Source organism: Homo sapiens, chromosome 2, assembly GCF_000001405.40.
Source record: "Homo sapiens chromosome 2, GRCh38.p14 Primary Assembly".
Taxonomy (NCBI): Eukaryota; Metazoa; Chordata; class Mammalia; order Primates; family Hominidae; genus Homo; species Homo sapiens.
The window spans coordinates 121,614,185-121,633,501 of NC_000002.12; the positions used below are offsets into that span (position 1 = coordinate 121,614,185).

The window sequence follows — 19,317 nt, forward strand, 5'->3', positions numbered from 1 at the left end:
AAGGCCAGTCCGCATTAAAAGTGTGAGGAAGCCGGGCGCGGTGGCTCACGCCTATAATCCCAGCACTTTGGGAGGCCAAGGCAGGTGGATGACCTGAGGTCAGGTGTTCGAGACTAGCCTGGTCCACATGGTGAAACCCCATCTCTACTAAAAATATAAAAACTAGCCAGGCGTGGTGGTGTGCGCCTGTAATCCCAGCTACTCAAGAGGCTGAGGCAGGGAAATCACTTGAGCCTGGGAGGCAGAGTTTGTGGTGAGCTGAGATCACACCACTGCACTCCAGTTGGGGCGACAGAGTGAGACTCTGTCTCAAAAAACAAAACAAAACAAAAAACAAAAACAAAAGTGTGAGGAAATGGATTCTACCAATCAATAGGAGGAGCTACAAAATACTGTGACGTGTTTTTCAATCTAACACGTATGTACTCAATGGGTATTTGTAGAATGAATAAATGGATGGAGCGAATATATTCATATACCCTGTTTATCCATTACCAGTCTGTCTGAATCACTTTTATTTACTCATCAATTTATCAAATATAAAATCTCACTATAGAATATACTAAAGAAATAACTATAGTCTATGACTTCACTTGAAAGAGTTTCCAGCATACTCAGAGAGGACAAGACATACATACACAGAAAAGGCCTGTCAATGTCGGAGGTCAACACAAACACGAGATGTATAACTAGTAGATTTAACAAGTAAAATACTGCACCTGCCAAATAAGGAACGTGAATAAGCACTATGAAAATTCAGAGGAAGGAATGGATTAAGAAGGCTTGGAATGACCAAGTCAAAACTATATAAACAAGATTCAGCTTGAGCTTTGTGTTAAAATGTGGCTAGGATGTGCATTTAATAGTTATGGTGGCCAGGCCCAGTGGCTCACGCCTGTAATCCCAGCACTTTGGGAGGCCAAAGTGGGCAGATCACCTGAGGTCAGGAGTTCGAGACCAGCCTGGCCAACATGGCAAAACCCCATCTCTACTAAAAATACAAAAATTAGCCGGGCATAGGGCGCACGCCTGTAATCCCAGCTACTTGGGAGGCTGAGGAAGGAGAATCGCTTGGACCCGGGAGGTGGAGGTTGCAGCGAGCCAAGATCACGGAACTGCACTCCAGCTTGCGCGTCAGGAATGAGACTCCATCTCAAAAAAAACAAAAAAAAAATAGTTACAGCACTTAAGGAAAAACAGCATAAGTAAAATGAGGGAGGTGAAGAGTGGTATGGCAGACATAGTGAGATACCTGTGAGATAAGTAGGCATTATTATTCTCATTTTGAAGATAAGAAATGCAGCTCAGAAAGGTTAAAAAAACAAAAACAGGTCGGGTGCGGTGGCTCAAACCTGTAATCCCAGCATTTTCAGAGGCTGAGGTGGGCGGGGAAGTTCGAGACCAACCTGGCCAACATGGCAAAATCCTGTCTCCACTAAAAATATAGAAATTAGCAGGGTGTGGTGGCACACGCCTGTAATCTCAGCTACTCAAGAAGGTAAGGCAGGAGAATTGCTTGAACCCAGGAGGTGCAAGTTGCAGTGAGCCAAGATCGTGCCACTGCACTCCAGCCTGGGTGACAAAGCAAGACTCTGTCTCAAAAAAAATAAATAAAATACAATTAACAAATAAATTAAAAAAAACAAAAACAAACAAAAAAACCTGCCTAAGGTTTTAAAACTAATAGCTGTCAAGCAATAATTCAAAACCAGATCTGCCTGGCCCCAAAGTTTGTGTTCTTTTCACTATACTACAGCTTCATTGAAAGTTCAAAGCATGGGCATTTACTAACTGAAACATGAAAATGTTTCAGCTACAGCATGTGGGGCGTAAGAAGGAGAAAATTAAGAAACACGAAGTCAAATCATAAATAAGGAGTTCAAGAAGCCTTAATAAAATAATATTCCATACCAGAGTATCAAGAAGGAATTAAATTACCAGCACCAGTTAATCAATAACCACATTAAAAAATCTCCCTGGGGCCAGGTGCGGTCGCTCACGCCTGTAATCTCAACACTTTGGGAGGCCAGGGCGGGTGGATCACCTGAGGTCAGGAGTTCGAGAACAGCCTGGCCAACATGGTGAAACCCCGTCTCTACTAAAAATACAAAAATTAGCCAGGCATGGTGGCAGGCGCCTGTAATCCCAGCTACTCGGGAGGCTGAGACAATAGAATCGCTTGAACCTGGGAGGCGGAGGTTGCAGTGAGCAGAGATTGCACCATTGCACTCCAGCCTGGCAACAAAGAGCAAAACTCTGTCTCAAAAAAATAAAAAATAAAAATCTCCCTGGAAAACAGGGTTGAAATTTAAAGCCAATAGGTTGATAATTTAAAGCCAGTTCTGGAAGAAGGTATGGTAGTTTCATGCCAGAAAGAAGGTATGATAGTTTAAAGCCAGAAATTAGCAGGATCTACTCACACTAAGTCAGCATATTTCTATCAATAAGACAATCTTTTCTGTATTAGGATGATTTCTGCAACAATTACAATATGATCGAAAACGAAGAAAGACGCGCTGCCATGCCCTGCCAGCAGGAAGTCTGTTCTTAGTCTACCTGTTCCTTCTGTCCTTTCCTTCTCTTTTTTCTCCCTCCCACTGTCCCACTCATTTTGAGGCCCACACATTCACTCAGTGAGCAAGCATTTACTCTGACAGGTATTGAACTATGCTAACTACTAAAAATCACAAAACTTTGTAGAGACTTCATCAAGGCCTTCAAGAAGGTCACTGCCTGAAAGAAGAAAGAGACAAACACAGTCAAAATAGTATGGGGACAAGTCTTAAACCAGAAGTTTGCAGAAAATGCTGTAGGTAGAAGAGGAAGGAAGATAAAACTGCCTGAGGGAACTCAGTAATGCTTCAACTGGGAATTGCAAGGATGGGGCACTGCACCTACCAACTAAGCTAAGCACCAAGCAGCTCAGCACCGGGGCAGCCCCAGCTTTCATTTGTCAGTCACAGGTCCTTCCCTGTCTTCCACTGCAGACTCACACTCCAGTCTCCCTGACTCCCTCCCTATCTCCTCTCAGCTTCCTTAATGGTTTCAGCACCCACACAGATGACAACAACTCCTCCTTTCTGCCTCCTCAGACCTATAACCTTCCAGTTGTCTGCTCCCAGGAATCAGCGATCTCTCCTCCGCTAGCTCATTCCCAGCAGCTTGTAAATGTCCTCTAAATCACTCATCTTACAAAGGCCCTCTCTTGAGCTCACATGCCTTTCATCAATGACACCATCAACAGTGAAGCTTCTTTAAGCCGTTGTCTACACCAGCCAGCTCCACTGATGCACACTTCCTGTCCCCTCCACAGACCCTCTGATCTGGCTTCACTTGCTCACTCCACAAGAGCAGCTCTTGTCAGAATCACCAGTGACAGCCATGTTGGCAAATCCAAGGAAGACTTTTCTGTACTTAACAAACTACACCACTCAGCAGCAATCCAAAGTCGATCGCCCCTTCCTTCTTCAAAAATTCCCTACTTGTGTGAAAACAAATGCTTATGCCTTCTTGCTACTTCTCTGGTTGCATCTACTAATTCATCTCTCATCTCTACCCACCTTCCAGATCTCTGTTGGTGGGCTCAGTCCAATGCCTCTTGTCCCCTCACACTGCTCACTCCAAAATAACCAGCATCCATTCCCATGCTTATAAACTGATGTCTCCCAAATTTGTATCTCCAAGCCAAATACCTCTGAGCTCTAGTCATATACGCTGGCCTCCTTTTGGTTCCAAACTCTTTACTACTTCAGGGCTTTTGCTTATGTTGTTCCTTCTGCCAAAAACTCTCCTTACACCTATATTGGCCCGGCTATTCTTTTTCATCTTTCAGACTTCAGCTCAAATGCTAGCTCCTCAGAGACCCATTGGAAGGCCATTCTAGGGGTACTCCCTTGTCACTGCATGCTGTTCTCTACTTTCAAGCACTTAAGGTGCAATTCTACCACGTATTTACTGTCTGATTTCCCAACAGGACTGTCAGCCTCAAGAAGGTAGGGACCTAACTATATTTTGTTCACCTAATGCCTATAATGCCTGTTGCAAACAAGGTACTCCAGAAATACTCGTCCAAAGAATAAAGTTTGCTTGGGCTGAAAATCAAAGGACAAACAGTCACTGGCAGTCATAAGTTGAGTTCCATTCTTTCTTAGAAGTAGAGGTAAGGGAGAAGGTAGAAAACATCACAAGTAAAAGGAATGTGCAAATACATATGGACAAAGCACAGACGCAAGAGTGTGCGGCCTGTTCAGAGGAAACAAGCAGTCTAGAAAGATCACAGAACTGGTTCCCAACCTGTAAACATTGCTGATCCTCACTCCTGGGATGAAAGGGGAAACTTATTAGAAGGATGTCTGATAATTATTCCATACATACACCAAGAATTATCTATACAGACAAAATATCATATTCATATGTTTTAATACTGAGAAAGTATTCATATTTTTCAAGCTTACCTTTATGCATTATGAATGTATTATGAATTTTTTAATGCAAAAATAATATAAAAAGTGTTTCTAAATTCTTAATTTGATGTTTTTATTTCAATTAACAAATACTAGAAATTCTACTAGAGTTCTCTAGCTCTGTAATTCTAGATACTAAGAAGATGAAATAATTCTCGAAAAGCCTGTAAAATACCAGTCAGGCATACAACAGAAAGACTGTACAGAAATAAGGCCCAACAGTCCATTTCTTGCACCAAAAGTCAACAGTGCTTTGGTCTTGCAGGGAAATCTATACAAGTCATCTCTGAACTGGAGAATCTAGAAACTGGATGGATATATAATTGTGTACCTTGGAAAGATCATTAAAAGCTGGAATTACTCAAGTATACTCAAGAATATTCTGCAGTAGGGAAAAAATCAGAGTTAAACTAATTTTCTCTCATTCTCTATCCCTCACTCCAGTGTGCACAATGATTAACTACAATGTAATTACGACAAAATCCAAACACAATGTAAAAGCACCAAAATGAATAAAAGGTTCAAGCTCACCACATTACATTAAAAAGGCAGGTCACCTGAACAACAAAACAAAATCATTAACATTGGTTAACTTTCAGCTGATAAAATTACAGGCCCCTTAATCTTATCTTTATGCTTTCCTGTGTTTTCCAAATTTTTTCTATGATGAATACATATTACTTTTATAATCACAATTAGAAAAATAGTATTCAAAACTCAGGCACTATCATTTCATAGTGGAGGGAAATCTACCTTTCAACACTACAGAACATAGTGAAGTAAATGATAAGAAAAAAATTCCTAAGAAAATGCAGCTGGCAGATCAGTTATTTCCACAAAAACATGTTGTAAAAAACTATAGGCTGGTCAACACAAATAACTGCAAAAACAAACAACAACAACAAAAAGGCAACTGCATTACAGTACACTTGCCATCAGAAAATAATAGAAACAAATACTACACAGGTGTCAGATAAGGTACTCATGATTAGAATTTGCCTTCACTAGTATTTTAATAAAGTAAATTTTAAAAATCCTCTCAGATATTTTAAACATATTTTTCCCTAAATGTGAACTGTAAAAGTAGAACATAGTTTTCATTCTATTTTTTCTCCTCCTGTGGTAGGTTTAGGCTATTGGGATTAAAATTGCTTCTATTTTTTTCTACTCCTTGAAACTCCCTCAAAGATGAAACAAGATGGACATCCACTGAGAACTGCTGAAGCTTGGTGATGGGCATTCCAGGGTTTGTTATAATCTCTTTACTTTTATATCTGTTAGAAATTATCCAGGGCTGGGCTTGGTGGCTTAGATCTGTAATCCCAGAGCTTTGAGAGGCCCAGGTGGGTGGATCACCTGAGGTCAGGAGTTCAAGACCAGTCTGGCCAACATAGCGAAACCCCATCTCTACTAAAAATATGAAAAGTAGCCGGGAGTGGTGGCGCATGCCTGTAATCCCAGCTACTGAGGAGGCTGAGGTGGGAGAACTGCTTGAACCCAGAGGCGGAGGTCACAGTGAGCCAAAATCGTGCCGCTGCACTCCAGCCTGGGCAACAGAGCGAGATTCTGTCTCAAAAAAAAAAAAAAGAAATTACCCAGAATTAGCAGGGCCAGTGGCACATGTCTGATTAGGGATCAGAAATTATCTATAATCAAAGTGGCATCTAATTGTGGTTGTGATTTTCATCTAAGGACTAAGGATACTAAGCTTCTTTTTTTTTGAGATGAAGTCTCGTTCTGTTGCCAGGCTGGAGTGCAGTGGCGCAATCTTGGCTCACTGCAACCTCTGCCTCCGGGGTTCAAGCAATTCTCCCACCTTAGCATTCCAAGTAGCTGGGACTACAGGTACGCGTCACCACGCCCAGCTAAATTTTGTATTTTTAGTAGAGACGGGGTTTCACCATATTGGCCAGGATGGTCTCGATCTATTGACTTAGTGATCCACCCACCTTGGCCTCCCAAAGTGCTGGGATTACAGGCATGAGCCACCACGCCCGGCCTTGACTTCTTTTCATGGATGTACTGGCCATTTGGACAGCATCTTTGAAGAAGTATCTGATCAAATCCTTTGCTCATTTGTTAACTGGGTTATGTGTCTTTTTACTGTTGATTTTAAGAATTTCTAAAATATATTTTGGATAAAAGTCCTTTATCAGATATATGACAAATATTTTTTCTCATTCTGGGATGTCTTCATTTTCTTGATGGTGCCATTTGAAAAAAAGGTTTTCTGTTTCAATTAATATCAATTTACCTGTTTTTCTTTCAGTGCCTATGTTTTAGGTGTCATACTGAAGAAGCCACGCACGGTGGCTCACACCTGTAATCCCGGCAGCTTTGGGAGGCCGAGACGGGCAGACTGCTTGAGCTCACGAGTTTGAGACCAGCCTGGGCAATGTGGCAAACCCTATCTCTATAAAAAATTCAAAAATTAATTGGTACATGCTTGTAGTCCCAGCCACTCGGGAGGCTAAAGTAGGAGGATTGTTGAGCCCAGCAGGAAGTCAAGGCTGCAGTGAGCTGCGATCCCCCTACTGTACCCCAGCCTCAGCGACAGAGTGAGAACCTGTATCAAAAAAAAAAGAAGAAAAAAGAAACCATTCTGTAATACAAGGGCATGAAGATTTACAACCATGTTTTCTTCTAAGAGTTGTTTTTTTCTTTTTTAATAGAGATGGCATCTCACTATGTTGCCCAGGCTGATCTTGAATTCCTGGGCTCAAGCGATCCTCCCACCTTGGCCTCCAAAGTGCTGGGATTACAGGTATGACCCACTAGGCTCAGCCTGAGTTTTATTGTTTCAGATCTTACATTTAGGTCTATGATGAATTCTGAATTTATATATATATAAGTGAGGTAAGGGTCCAAATTCCTTTTTTTGTTGTGTGGACCTGTACCACCATCATTTGTTGAAAAAGATTATTCTTTCTCCACCTAATTGTCCTTGCACTTTGTTGAAAATCAATTGACCATAAACAGAAGGGTTTAGTTCTGGATTCTCATTCTATGCCATTGATCTATATGTCTATCTTTATGCCAGTATCAGATTGTCTCAATTATTGTAACTTTGTAGTAAGTTATGAAAGTCCTCCAACTTTTTTTCAAGATTGTTTTGGCAATTCTGGGTCCCTTGCATTTCTACATGAGTTTTAAGATCAGCTTGTCAATTTCTGCAAACTAGGCAACTGGGTTTTTTTGTTGTTTGTTTGTTTGTTTATGAGACGGAGTCTCACTCTGTCACCCAGGCTGGAGAGCAGTGGCGTGATCTCGGCTTACTGCAAACTTTGCCTCCCAGGTTCAAGCAATCCTCCTGCCTCAGCCTCCCAACCAGCTGGGATTACAGGCGTGCACCACCACGCTCAGCTAATTTTTGTATTTTTAGTAGAGATGGGGTTTCAGCATGTTGTTGTTCAGGCTGGTCTCAAACTCTTGACCTCACACCTGCCTCAGCCTCCCAAAGTGCTGGGATTATAGGCATGAGCCACCACACCTGGCCTGGAATTTTAATAGGGATTGTGCTAAATCTATATGGGGAATATTACCATCATAACAATATTAAGTCTTCCAATCCCTGAACATAGAGTATCTTTCCATTTATTTAGATCTTTCAATGATGTTTTATAGTTCAGAATGTAAGTTCCGGCCAGGCACAGTGGCTCACGCCTGTAATCCCAGCACTTTGGGAGGTCGAGGCAGGTGGATCACTTGAATTCAGGAGTTTGAGACCAACCTGGGCAACATGGAGAAACCTAGTCTCTAAAAAAAACAAAAATTAGCCAGGCGTGGTGGTATACACCTGTGGTACCAACTACTCAGGAGGCTAAGGTGGAAGGATCACTTGAGCCCAGGAGGTAGAGGTTGCAGTGAGCTGATACTATGCCACTGCACTCCAGCGTGGGCGACGAGTGAGACCCTGTCTCAAAAAAAAAAAAAAGAATCTAAGTTCTGCATTTCTTTTGTTAACTTTATTCCCAAATGTTTTATTCTTTTTGACGCTACTGTGAATGGAATTGTTCCCTTGGTTTCACTTTTGAATTATTCATTGTAAATGTGTAACAATAAAATTAATTTCTGTATATTGATCCCGTATTCTGCAACTTTGAGGAGCTCATAACAGTTTTATAGTGCATTCCTTAGGATGTTTTATATACAAGATCATACCATCTGCAAATAGAGATTATCTTACTTCCTTTCCAATATGAACGCCTTTTCTTTCTTTTTCTTCCCTAATTGTCCCGGCTAGAACCTCCAATACAATGTTAAAGCTAAGTGTCAAAGAGACTATACATGTTTTGGTCAAGCGCAGTGGCTCACACCTATAATCCCAGCACTTTGGGAGGCCAAGGTGGGTGGATCACGTAAGCTCAGGAGTTCGAGACCAGCCTGGGCAACATAGTAAAACTCCGTCTATATAAACAATATCTATATATATATAAATTTTAAAAAATTAAAGACTATATGTCTTGTTCCTAATCTTAGGACAGCATTCTGTCTTTCATCATTAAGTATGATATTAGCTGTAGGTTTTCAAAGATGGCCTTTATCACACTGAGGAAGTTCCCTTCCATTTCTAATTTGTTGAATGTTTTTTATCATGAAACAATGTTGGATTTAATCAAATGTTTTTCCTGCCACTATTGAGATGATCATGTTGGTCTTGTCTTTTATTCTATTACATGGCATGTTACGTTAATTTACAGACATTAAGCCAACTTTGCATTCCTGGGATAATTCCCACTCGGTCACAGTACAGAATTCTTCCGATATGTTGCTATGTTCAGTTTGCAAGTATTTTGTTGAGGTATTTTACACCTATATCCATAAAGAATACTGTTCTGTAGTTTTCTTGTCTTGTGACATTTTTGCCTGGTTTTGGTATCAGCCTAATAATGTCCTCATAGGATAAACTGGAAAGTAATACCTCTTCTTTATTTTGAAAGAGTGTGTGGAGAATTTATGTTGATTCTTCTTTAAATATTTGGTAGAATCACAAAATGCAAAGTCATCTGGACCTAAGCTTTTTTGGGAGGGGCTTTTTTATTGCTAATTCAATCTCTTTACTTTATTGGTCTATTTAGATTTTCTATTTCTTTGGGAGGTTGAGGCAGGAGAATCACTTGAACCCAGGAGGCAAACGCTGCAGTGAGCCAACATCACATCACTGCACTCCACCCTGAGCAACAGAGCAAGACTCCATCTGAAACAAACAAAAGAGACCTTCTATTTCTTTTTGAGTTAATTTCAGTAGTGTCTTTCAAAGAATGCATATATTTCACATGTGTTATCTAACTTGTTGGCATAAAATGGTTCCTAGTATTTCCTTATAATCTTTTTTAATTTCCATGTAAGGTCAGTAGTGATGTCCCTTCTTTCATTCCTCATTTTATTAATTTATTAATCTAGCTCAAGGTTTGTGCATTTTGTTGATCTTTGCACAGAACCTATTTTTGGTTTGATTTTCCCTACTTTTTTTCCCTCTATTTCATTTATTTCCATTCTAGATTTTATTTATTATATTCCTTCTGCTCACTTTGGATTTAGTGTATTCTTCTTTCATTAGTTTCTTAAGGTGGAAGATTAGGTTATGGATTTGACATCTTTCTTCTTTTTTTAATACAAGCATTTATAGCTATAAATTTCCTTCTGGGAACTGCTTTTGCTGTATCCCCTAGCTTATGATATATTCTTTGTTTTTCGCATGAAGCATAGTAGGCCCTCAATAAACATTCATTGTTGAAAAATGAGTGGCAGGGGTTTTTTTCTTCTTCTTCTTGTTTTTTGAGATGGATTCTCACTCTGCCACCCAGGCTGGAGTACAGTGCACATTTGCGTGATCTGGGCTCACTGCAACCTCCACCTCCTGGGTCCAAGCTATTCTCCTGCCTCAGCCTCCCAAGTAGCTGGGATTACAGGTACCCACCACCATGCCCGGCTAATTTTTTGTATTTTTAGTAGAATGGGGTTTCGCCATGTTGGCCAGGCTGGTCTTGAACTCCTGATCTCAGGTGATCCACCTGCCTTGGCCTCCCAAACTGCTGGGATTACAGGCATGAGCCAGTGCGCCCAGCCCAGGGTTTTTCTGTTTTGTTTTGTTTTTTTCAATTTTGGTAAAACATACATAAGATTTGCCATTTTAACTATTTTAAAACGTACAATTAATTCAGTGGTATAAAGTACATTCACATTGTTTGCAACCATCATCATCATGATATGATATATTTTGCCTTTATCTCAGAGTATTTTCCAATTTTCCTGTGGCTTTCTCTTTGAATCATTGGTGATTTCAGTGTGTGTAGTTTAATTTTCACATATTCTGAATTCCCCAAATTTCCTTCTGTTATTGATATCTAATTTCATTCCATTATGGTCAGAGAACATAGTATGATTTCCATCCGTTAAATTAATTGAGGCTTGTTTTATGGCATAACATATGGTCTATCCTGAAATGTTCCATATGCACTTCAGAACAATGTGTATCCTGCTATTATTGGAAGGGGTGTTCTATAAATGTCTGTCCCTTAATGATTTAAAAGTTTGCCTGCATCTAGACAAGGTTTAAGAAAAAAAATTGTCAATTATTTCAATTTTAAAATATTCATTTTATGCCCCACTTTCTATACTAAGTATTCCATGTGCATGTACAAATGAAAAGCAAGTCTCCCTTCAAAAATAAAAATGTTTCTAGTAACACATGAAGAGTTGGTTTCTAACGGTGAAATCCACTAAAAAGCTAAGCACAAAGGAGCATATATGCTAGCTTGAGAGATTTTCTTTCTTTCATTTTTTTTTTTTTTTTTTTTTTTTTGAGACGGAGTCTCGCTCTGTTATCCAGGCTGGAGTGCAGTGGCACAATCTCGGCTCAATGCAACCTCTACTTCCCAGGTTCAAGCGATTCTCCTGCCTCAGCCTCCCAAGTAGCTGGGATTACAGGCACCCGCCACCAGTCCCAGTTAATTTTTGTATTTTTAGAAGAGACGGGTTTCACCATATTGGCCAGGCTGGTCTTGAACTCCTGACCTCAGGTGATCTGCCCGCCTTGGCCTCCCAAAGTGCTGGCATTACAAGCATGAGCCACCGCGCCCAGCCTGCTTGAGAAATTTTCTAAGAGGTTCCTGAAACAGAAAAATCCCCAGACTTAGGTGAGTAAGAAGAGAAGAGAACAGGCTGGGCACAGTGGCTCACATCTGTAATCCCAGCACTTTGGGAGGCCGAGGCAGGCACATCACAAGGTCAAGAGATCAAGACGATGGAGACCATCCTGGCCAACATGGTGAAACCTCGTCTCTACTAAAAATACAAAAATTAGCTGGGCATGGTGGCACGCACCTGTAATCCCAGCTACTCGGGAGGCTGAGGCAAGAGAATCACTTTGAACACAGGAGGCAGAGGCTGCAGTGAGCTGAGATGGCACCACTGCATTCCAGCCTGGAGGCAGAGCGAGACTCCATCTCAAAAAAAAAAAAAAGAGAGAAGAGGACATCTGATATGTCATTTGATACAGTATGACAGCTGACATGGCCATCCCAAATTTCCCAAGGGAGCTAGGTTATACCCAGTTGAAAAAAAAGAAAACTCTATTAAGTCCTGGGTATTTAATGTGAAGACAGAAGGTGTAAGAAGGATGAGGATTTAAAAAAACAAGAGAAGTCTTTCTGTGTTACTGAATAAAGAAGTCAAGCTATAAAGAATTAATACACCAATAGTTTTAAATTTGGCTTTCATTTCATCAATAAAATAAGTATAGCTACTTCATATTTGAAGCAGTACCTTCCAATGTATTAAGTTATCATACAAATGCTACTTTCTCTATTCCCTACAAAACCTCTGTCAGATTGTAATTATAATGCCTATTTTACAGACAAGAAGAGATTCAGAAGCAAAGTGACTTCTGGGGTCACATAGCAAGTATGAAACAGAACCAGAATTTTGATTCCTTTTTTTTTGTTTTGTTTTGTTTTAGAGAGATGGGGTCTTGCTATGTTGCCCATGCTGGTCTTGAACTCCTGGCCTCAAGTGATTCTCGCACTTTGGCATCCCAAAACACTGGGATTACAGATGTGAGCCACCGCACCTGGCCAGAACCAAGATTTGAACTTCACTTTCTAATTCAAAATCCAGGGCTATTTTCACCAAAATGCAGCTCCTTCTTCTCACCAACAATAGATACACATCTCTGAGTACTTTAGACACACGTATCATTTAGGAAAAAGACCTACAAAGGAAAGATATATCCACCATAATGTTCTCAAAATAAGAGCTGAAAAGCTTGAATATAGAGGAACAACTAGTACCTGGCACAGCACCTCATACTAAGCAAGTGATCCACAAAGAATAAATGAAGAGAAAGAACCATCACATGCATTCCCACAAGCAGCCTTAGGAGAGTAATTCAGCAACATTTAGTTCAGAGAGTTCAGTACATCCCATAGATGCCAATGGCAAGCCAAAAGCATGATCAAAAATAGGAAAAAGAGGAGAAAACTAGGATAACGTAGGGAAAAGAAGACACAGCACAGCAGGAAAAGAGGAGAAACAACAAAATATGCGTAACCATTGGGGGAAACTGGGTGAAGGGTAAACAAGAACTCCCTGTACATTTTTTGCAACTTCTTGTGAATCTATAATTATTTCACAATAGGAAGTTAAAGAAAACAAAAGAAGAAAAAAGTGGAAAGACACATGAAATGGAAAGGCTCTTGGTTCCAGTTTCCTAAGTTCACTGAGTACTTAATGTACCAGGCAATCTGCCAGGCACTGCCCTCAACAAGCTCCATGTTCACTGCAGAGAGAAAGACAAGTAAATAATCTATTCCACCAAGTATATCAAGACGCTTTCCTGCAAGGCTCTACTTTTCCAATTCCTTAGGAAACATGGAAAAAAGAAAGGCTACAACAGTGAAACAAATATAAGGGCACCACTAGGTAAAGCTACACCTTAGGTGTACCTGAGCATGAGAATGCAGGCTTTGCTTATTGTCCCTCACCATCCAAGCATGTTTACCTTGCTTAGGCAAGATTCATACTCCTCAGTATGAATCTGACGGACGAGGAAAACGTGCAGAGTCATGGACAGCCTTCAAAGATAAGGAACCCTGTGCTTGCTAAAGAAAGAGAACTGAAATGAGGGCTTTAGAGATTCATTTATTCATTGACAATTTAGATCTTATTATGTTACTTCAAACCCTTTCAATGCAACTTAAGTGACTTGTCAGCGAAAAATAATGTGGAACATCACCTGAGCAATGACAAAGGCTACTGAAAAGACAATTTCATATACTATCAAATAAGGAATTTTATACACTGCATACAATTTCAAATACTATGAAATACTGTGAAATTTCATACCCTGTCCACCACTATTCAATCATATTTCAAGCTCATACACTTTAAGTCTGTACTTTACTAAGTTTATACCTAACAAAAATTTGCTATATTTCTCAGATAAGCTATATTAGGACACTGCTTTTACTAAAATGAAATTTTTATAGTTATGTTTTATGGATTTACAAAAAAAATTCCAAAAGAAAAGCGCAAAAAGAGAGCTGTGCCTTAACAATGTTAGTATAAACTGGGTTGTACTACATACAGCAGCTCGGTTTCCAAAACGAGTTATGATTGCTTCAATATTTTTCCAACATAAACTTATTCCTATTCAACATTAACATGGTTTTCCTTAAAATATCAAAAAACCTAACCATCACTCTAGTCCTACATTTTCAAAAACGGTCACTTAAGAATGTAATTGAGGCCAGGCACGATGGCTTACACCTGTAATCCCAGCACTTTGGGAGCCTGAGGTGCGTGGATCACTTGAGGCTAGGAATTCGAGACCAGCCTTGCCAACATGGTGAAACCCCATCTCTACTAAAAATACAAAAATTAGCCAGGCATGGTGGTGCACGCCTGTAACCCCAGCTACTCCTGATGCTGAGGCACAAGAATCGCTTGAATTTGGGAAGCAGAGGTTGCACAGTCAAGATCACCCCACTGCACTCCAGCCTGGGTGACAGAACAAGACTCTGTCTCAAAAAAAAAAAAAAAAGAATGTAATTGAATATAATCAAATAAACACTTTAATGCACTGCTGATGAGAATAAAAAGTAGTAATACATAGGACAATTTGGCAACATCTCTTCACCCAACCAGTTCAAAATCTAAGAATGCATCTAAGGAAAAATTTATCAAGTATGCTAAAATGGGGTGGGCACCATGGCTCCTGACAGAGCGAGACTCCATCTCAAAAAAAAAAAAAAAAGTATACCAAACTGAACATATCAAGTTGTTCACTGCAGCTGGTCATCCTTTTTTTTTAATTCTTTTTTCTCTTTCTTTGTTTTGGTCATCCTTTTTTAATGAAATAATCCTAAATGTTAACGAACAGGGAAGTGGGAAATAAATTACAGTACATCCGTACAACAGCATACTATGCAGTTACCAACAATGATGATAAAAAATCTGTTCTTGCCGGGCGCGGTGTCTCAGCCTGTAATCCCAGCACTTTGGGAGGCCAAGACGGGCAGATCATGAGGTCAGGAGATCAAGACCATCCTGGCTAACACGGTGAAACCCCGTCTCTACTAAAAATACAAAAAATTAGCCTGGCATGGTGGCAGGCACCTGCAGTCCCAGCTACTTGGGAGGCTGAGGTGGGAGAATGGCATGAATCCGGGAGGCGGAGCTTGCAGTGATCTGAGATCGCACCACTGCACTCCAGCCTGGGTGATAAAGCGAGACTCCATCTCAAAAAAATATATAAAAAATAAAAAATAAATAAATAAATCTGTTCTTATTGGACTTTAAAGGTATCTGCAATCATTTTAGTGAAAAAAGCAAACTAGAAAACAATTAGAAAAGCAAACTAGGCCGGGAGCGGTGGCTCACGCCGGTAATCCCAGCACTTTGGGAGGCCGAAGCCAGTGGATCACCTGAGGTCAGGAATTTGAGACCAGCCTGGCCAACATGGTGAAACCCCATGTCTACTAAAAATACAAAAATTAGCTGGGCATGGTGGCAGGCACCTGTAATCCCACGTACTTGAGAGACTGAGGCAGGAGAATCACTTGAACCTGGGAGACAGAGGTTGCAGTGAGCCAAGATCACACCACTGCACTCTAGCCTGGGCGACAAGAGCGAAACTCCATCTCAAAAAAAATAAAAAAGCAAACTAGAAAACAAAAATGATGCCATTTTTGTTTATAAAATAAAAACTTTTTTTTATATGCATCTTGCATAGAAAACGTATGGAAGGGAACACACTAAAATGTTAATACTATGTTTTCCCTTTTTTTATTGAGATGGAGTCTTGCTCTGTCACCCAGGCTGGACTGCAGTGATGCAATCTTCGCTCACTGCAACCTTCGCCTCCCAGGTTCAAGCTATTCTCCTGCCTCAGCCTCCTGAGTAGCTGGGATTACAGGTGTGCACTACCATGCCCAGCTAACTTTACATTTTTAGTAGAGACAGGATTTCACCATGTTGGCCAGGCTGGTCTCAAACTCCTGACCTCAAGCGATCCACCCGCCTCCGCCTCCCAAACTGCTGGGATTACAGGCGTGAGCCACCACGCCCAGCCTCTATTCCTATTCTTTCTAGTTAAATCATACTCTATCCAATAAATTCCAGAAAGTTGTTTTTAAAGTTAAATCAAATTGTAATCCTGATATCACAATCATCATCCATTACTACAAGTATTGAAAACTACAGAAAGTTTGGTAGATCACCATATTGGAAAGAAACACACACACACACACACACACACACACACACACACACACACACGCAGAAGCAATTATTCAGTAAATCTTCTGTATCTAGTACCCATCTCTAGAAGGCAGTATTGGTAACATCTACAAGGAAACAAAACTTATTCCTGCCTCGTCCAGTCACAAAATTCTTGCCAAGTCAAAAGAGAAAAGCAAACAAGAAATGAGAAGAGGCCGGGCATGGTGGCTCACGCCTATAATCCCAGCACTTTGGGAGGCCAAGGTGGGTGGATTGCCTGAGGTCAGGAGTTTGAGACCAGCCTGGCCAACATGGCAAAACTCTGTCTCTACTGAAAATAAAAAAATTAGCCGGGCATGGTGGTGGATGCCTGTAATCCCAGCTACTCAAAAGGCTGAGGCAGGAGAATCGCTTGAACCCAGCAGAGGTTGCAGTGAGCCAAGATCTAGCCATTGCACTCCAGCCTGGACAACAAGAGCGAAACTACGTCTCAAAAAAAAAAAAAAAGAGGCCGGGCGCAGTGGCTCACGCCTGTAATCCCAGCACTTTGGGAGGCCGAGGTGGGTGGATCACAAGGTCAGGAGATCAAGACCATCCTGGCTAACATGGTGAAACCCCATCTCTACTAAAAATACAAAAAATTAGCCGGGTGTGGTGGCAGGCGCCCATAGTCCCAGCTACTCGGGAGACTGAGGCAGGAGAATGGCATGAACCCGGGAGGTGGAGGTTGCAGTGAGCCGAGATTGCGCCATTACGCTCCAGCCTGGGTGACAAAGCGAGACTCCAGCTCAAAAAAAAAAAAAAAAAAAAAAAAGAAATGAGAAGAAAAGTGCTCAATTTGCTTTTGATCACTGAACTATAGTCATATTTTAATTCAAAAAATGACACATGACATGTTTCTACGCCATTTTAAAATTACTTTTTTTTTTTTTTTTTTTGAAATGGAGTCTCGCTCTGTCACCATGCTGGAGTGCACTGGTACGATCTTGGCTCACTGCAACTTCCGCCTCCTAGATTCAAGCAATTCTCCTGCCTCAGCCTCCCGAATAGCTGGGACTACAGGCACACACCACCAGGCCCAGCTAATTTTTGTATTTTTAGTAAAGACGAGGTTTCACCATGTTGACCAGGATGGTCTCGATCTCTTGACCTCGTGATCTGCCCACCTCGACCTCCCAAAGTGCTGGGATTACAGGCGTAAGCCACCAAGCCCGGCCTGAAATTACATTTTTTAAACATATTTTTAAAATACATATTGCAGGCCAGGCACAGTGGCTCACACCTGTAATCCCAGCACTTTGGGAGGCCAAGGTGGGAGGATCGCTTGAGCTCATGAGTTTGAGAACAGCCTGGGCAACATAGTGAGACCCCATCTCTACAAAAAATACAAAAATCGGGCCAGGCGCAGTGGGTCACACCTGTAATCCCAGCACTTTGAGAGGCTGAGGTGGGTGGGTCACCTGAGGTCAACAGTTCGAGACCAGCCTGGTCAACATGGTGAAACCCCGTCTCTAGTAAAAATGCAAAAATTAGCTGGGCGTGGTGGCGTGCCCATGTAATCCCAGCTACTCGGGAGGCTGAGGTGGGAGAACTGCTTGAACCCAGGAGGCGGAGGCTGTAGTGAGCCGAGATCACGCCACTGCACTCCAGCCCAGGCAACAGAGCAAGACCCCATCTCAAAACAAATAAAATAAAATAAAATAAATAAATAAAATAAATACAAAAATCAGCCAGGCATGGTAGTATGCACCTGTAGTCCCAGCTACCTGGAAGGCTGAGATGGGAGGATGGTTGGAGCCTGGGAGGCAGAGGTTGCAGTGAGCTGAGATTGTGCCACTGTACTCTAGCCTGGGCGACAGAGCTTTGTCTCAAAAAACAAACAAAAATGTATCTTGTATTGCAGGCTGGATTTCATCAAAACCTCCAACGTGAATAATCTGGGAATATCTATTTATAGCAATGTTAAGGCACGTAACTTTTAACCCAAAATGTCAACTTCTGGGAATTTATTCATATATGTGCAAAAATAATATATTATAGAATTATTCTTTGCAGCATTGTTTATAAAAGCAAAAGATTAGATAAAACTAAATGTTCATCAATAGAGGACTCAGGAAATCATGATATGCCATGCAACAGCATACTATTTAGTCATACAACTCATTTAAAAAAAAAAAGGAGGAAGTCTTCAATGTACTCACATAGAATGATTTCCAAGATACATGAAGTTTAAAAAAAGTAAAATGCGCTGGACGCGGTGGCTCATGCCTGTAAACCCAACACTTTGAGAGGCCGAGGTTGGCAGATCACCTGAGGTCAGGAATTCAAGACTAGCCTGACCAGCATGCAGAAACCTCGTCTCTACTAAAAATACAAAATTAGCCAGGCATGGTGGCACATGCCTGTAATCCTAGCTACTAGGGAGACTGAGACAGGAGAATCACTTGAACCTGGGAGGTGGAGGTTGCGGTGAGCCAAGATTGCGCCATTGCACTCTAGCCTGGGCAGCAAGAGTGAAACTCCATCTCAGAAAAAAAAAAAAGCAAAATGCAAAAGTAGTCTATAATCAGCCACGAACTGTACAAAAACAGAGGGAGGTGTGTGTGTGTGTGTGTGTGTATATATATGTATGTGTGTGCATATATATATATATATATATAGGCTTTTTTTCATGAATATAATTAATAACATTGGTGACTCCAGGGAAAGAAATTGGGTGGATGGCAGACAAGCTAGGAGAGAAACTTAAATTTTTAATTCATGTGTATATATTACCTGTTCAAAAAAAAGTTTATAATAGAAAAATTTCATGCATTTAACTAATAGTCCTATTTCTCACTCTACACAATTTAAGCAAGATGAAGCGAATTCTCATATAACTATAATATACTTACATTCACTCATAATAAAAAGAGATACAAGTATATCCCCCAGATACCTTCTTAAAACTTCTATGTTCAATAATGCACATAATAAACTTGTAACTGCAATTCAAAATATTAATAATACCATCACTATTCAGAAGCAAACAAAATAGCAACAAGTTTCCTAAAAGAACAATGTCTAACCCCTCCCCGCAAATTCCAAAATTGAATCACTGACCAGTTTATAATTCAAGTAAGGATATGAAAAT

At 40.8% G+C, this 19,317-nt stretch overlaps 1 protein-coding gene across 36 annotated transcripts in view, besides 1 other annotated feature; it reads right to left on the reverse strand.

Moving 5' to 3' along the window:
- CLASP1 (cytoplasmic linker associated protein 1) overlaps positions 1-19,317 on the reverse strand; it is a 311,687-nt gene that overhangs the window by 276,409 nt on the left and 15,961 nt on the right. The gene's annotated exons all lie outside the window — the stretch shown is intronic.
- Positions 3,522-3,571: an enhancer, noted in NCBI's record as "active region_16468". NCBI's record gives its function as "activates an Ori minimal core promoter by ATAC-STARR-seq in GM12878 lymphoblastoid cells {active_cell/tissue: GM12878}" and the evidence as "EXISTENCE:reporter gene assay evidence [ECO:0000049][PMID:35858748]".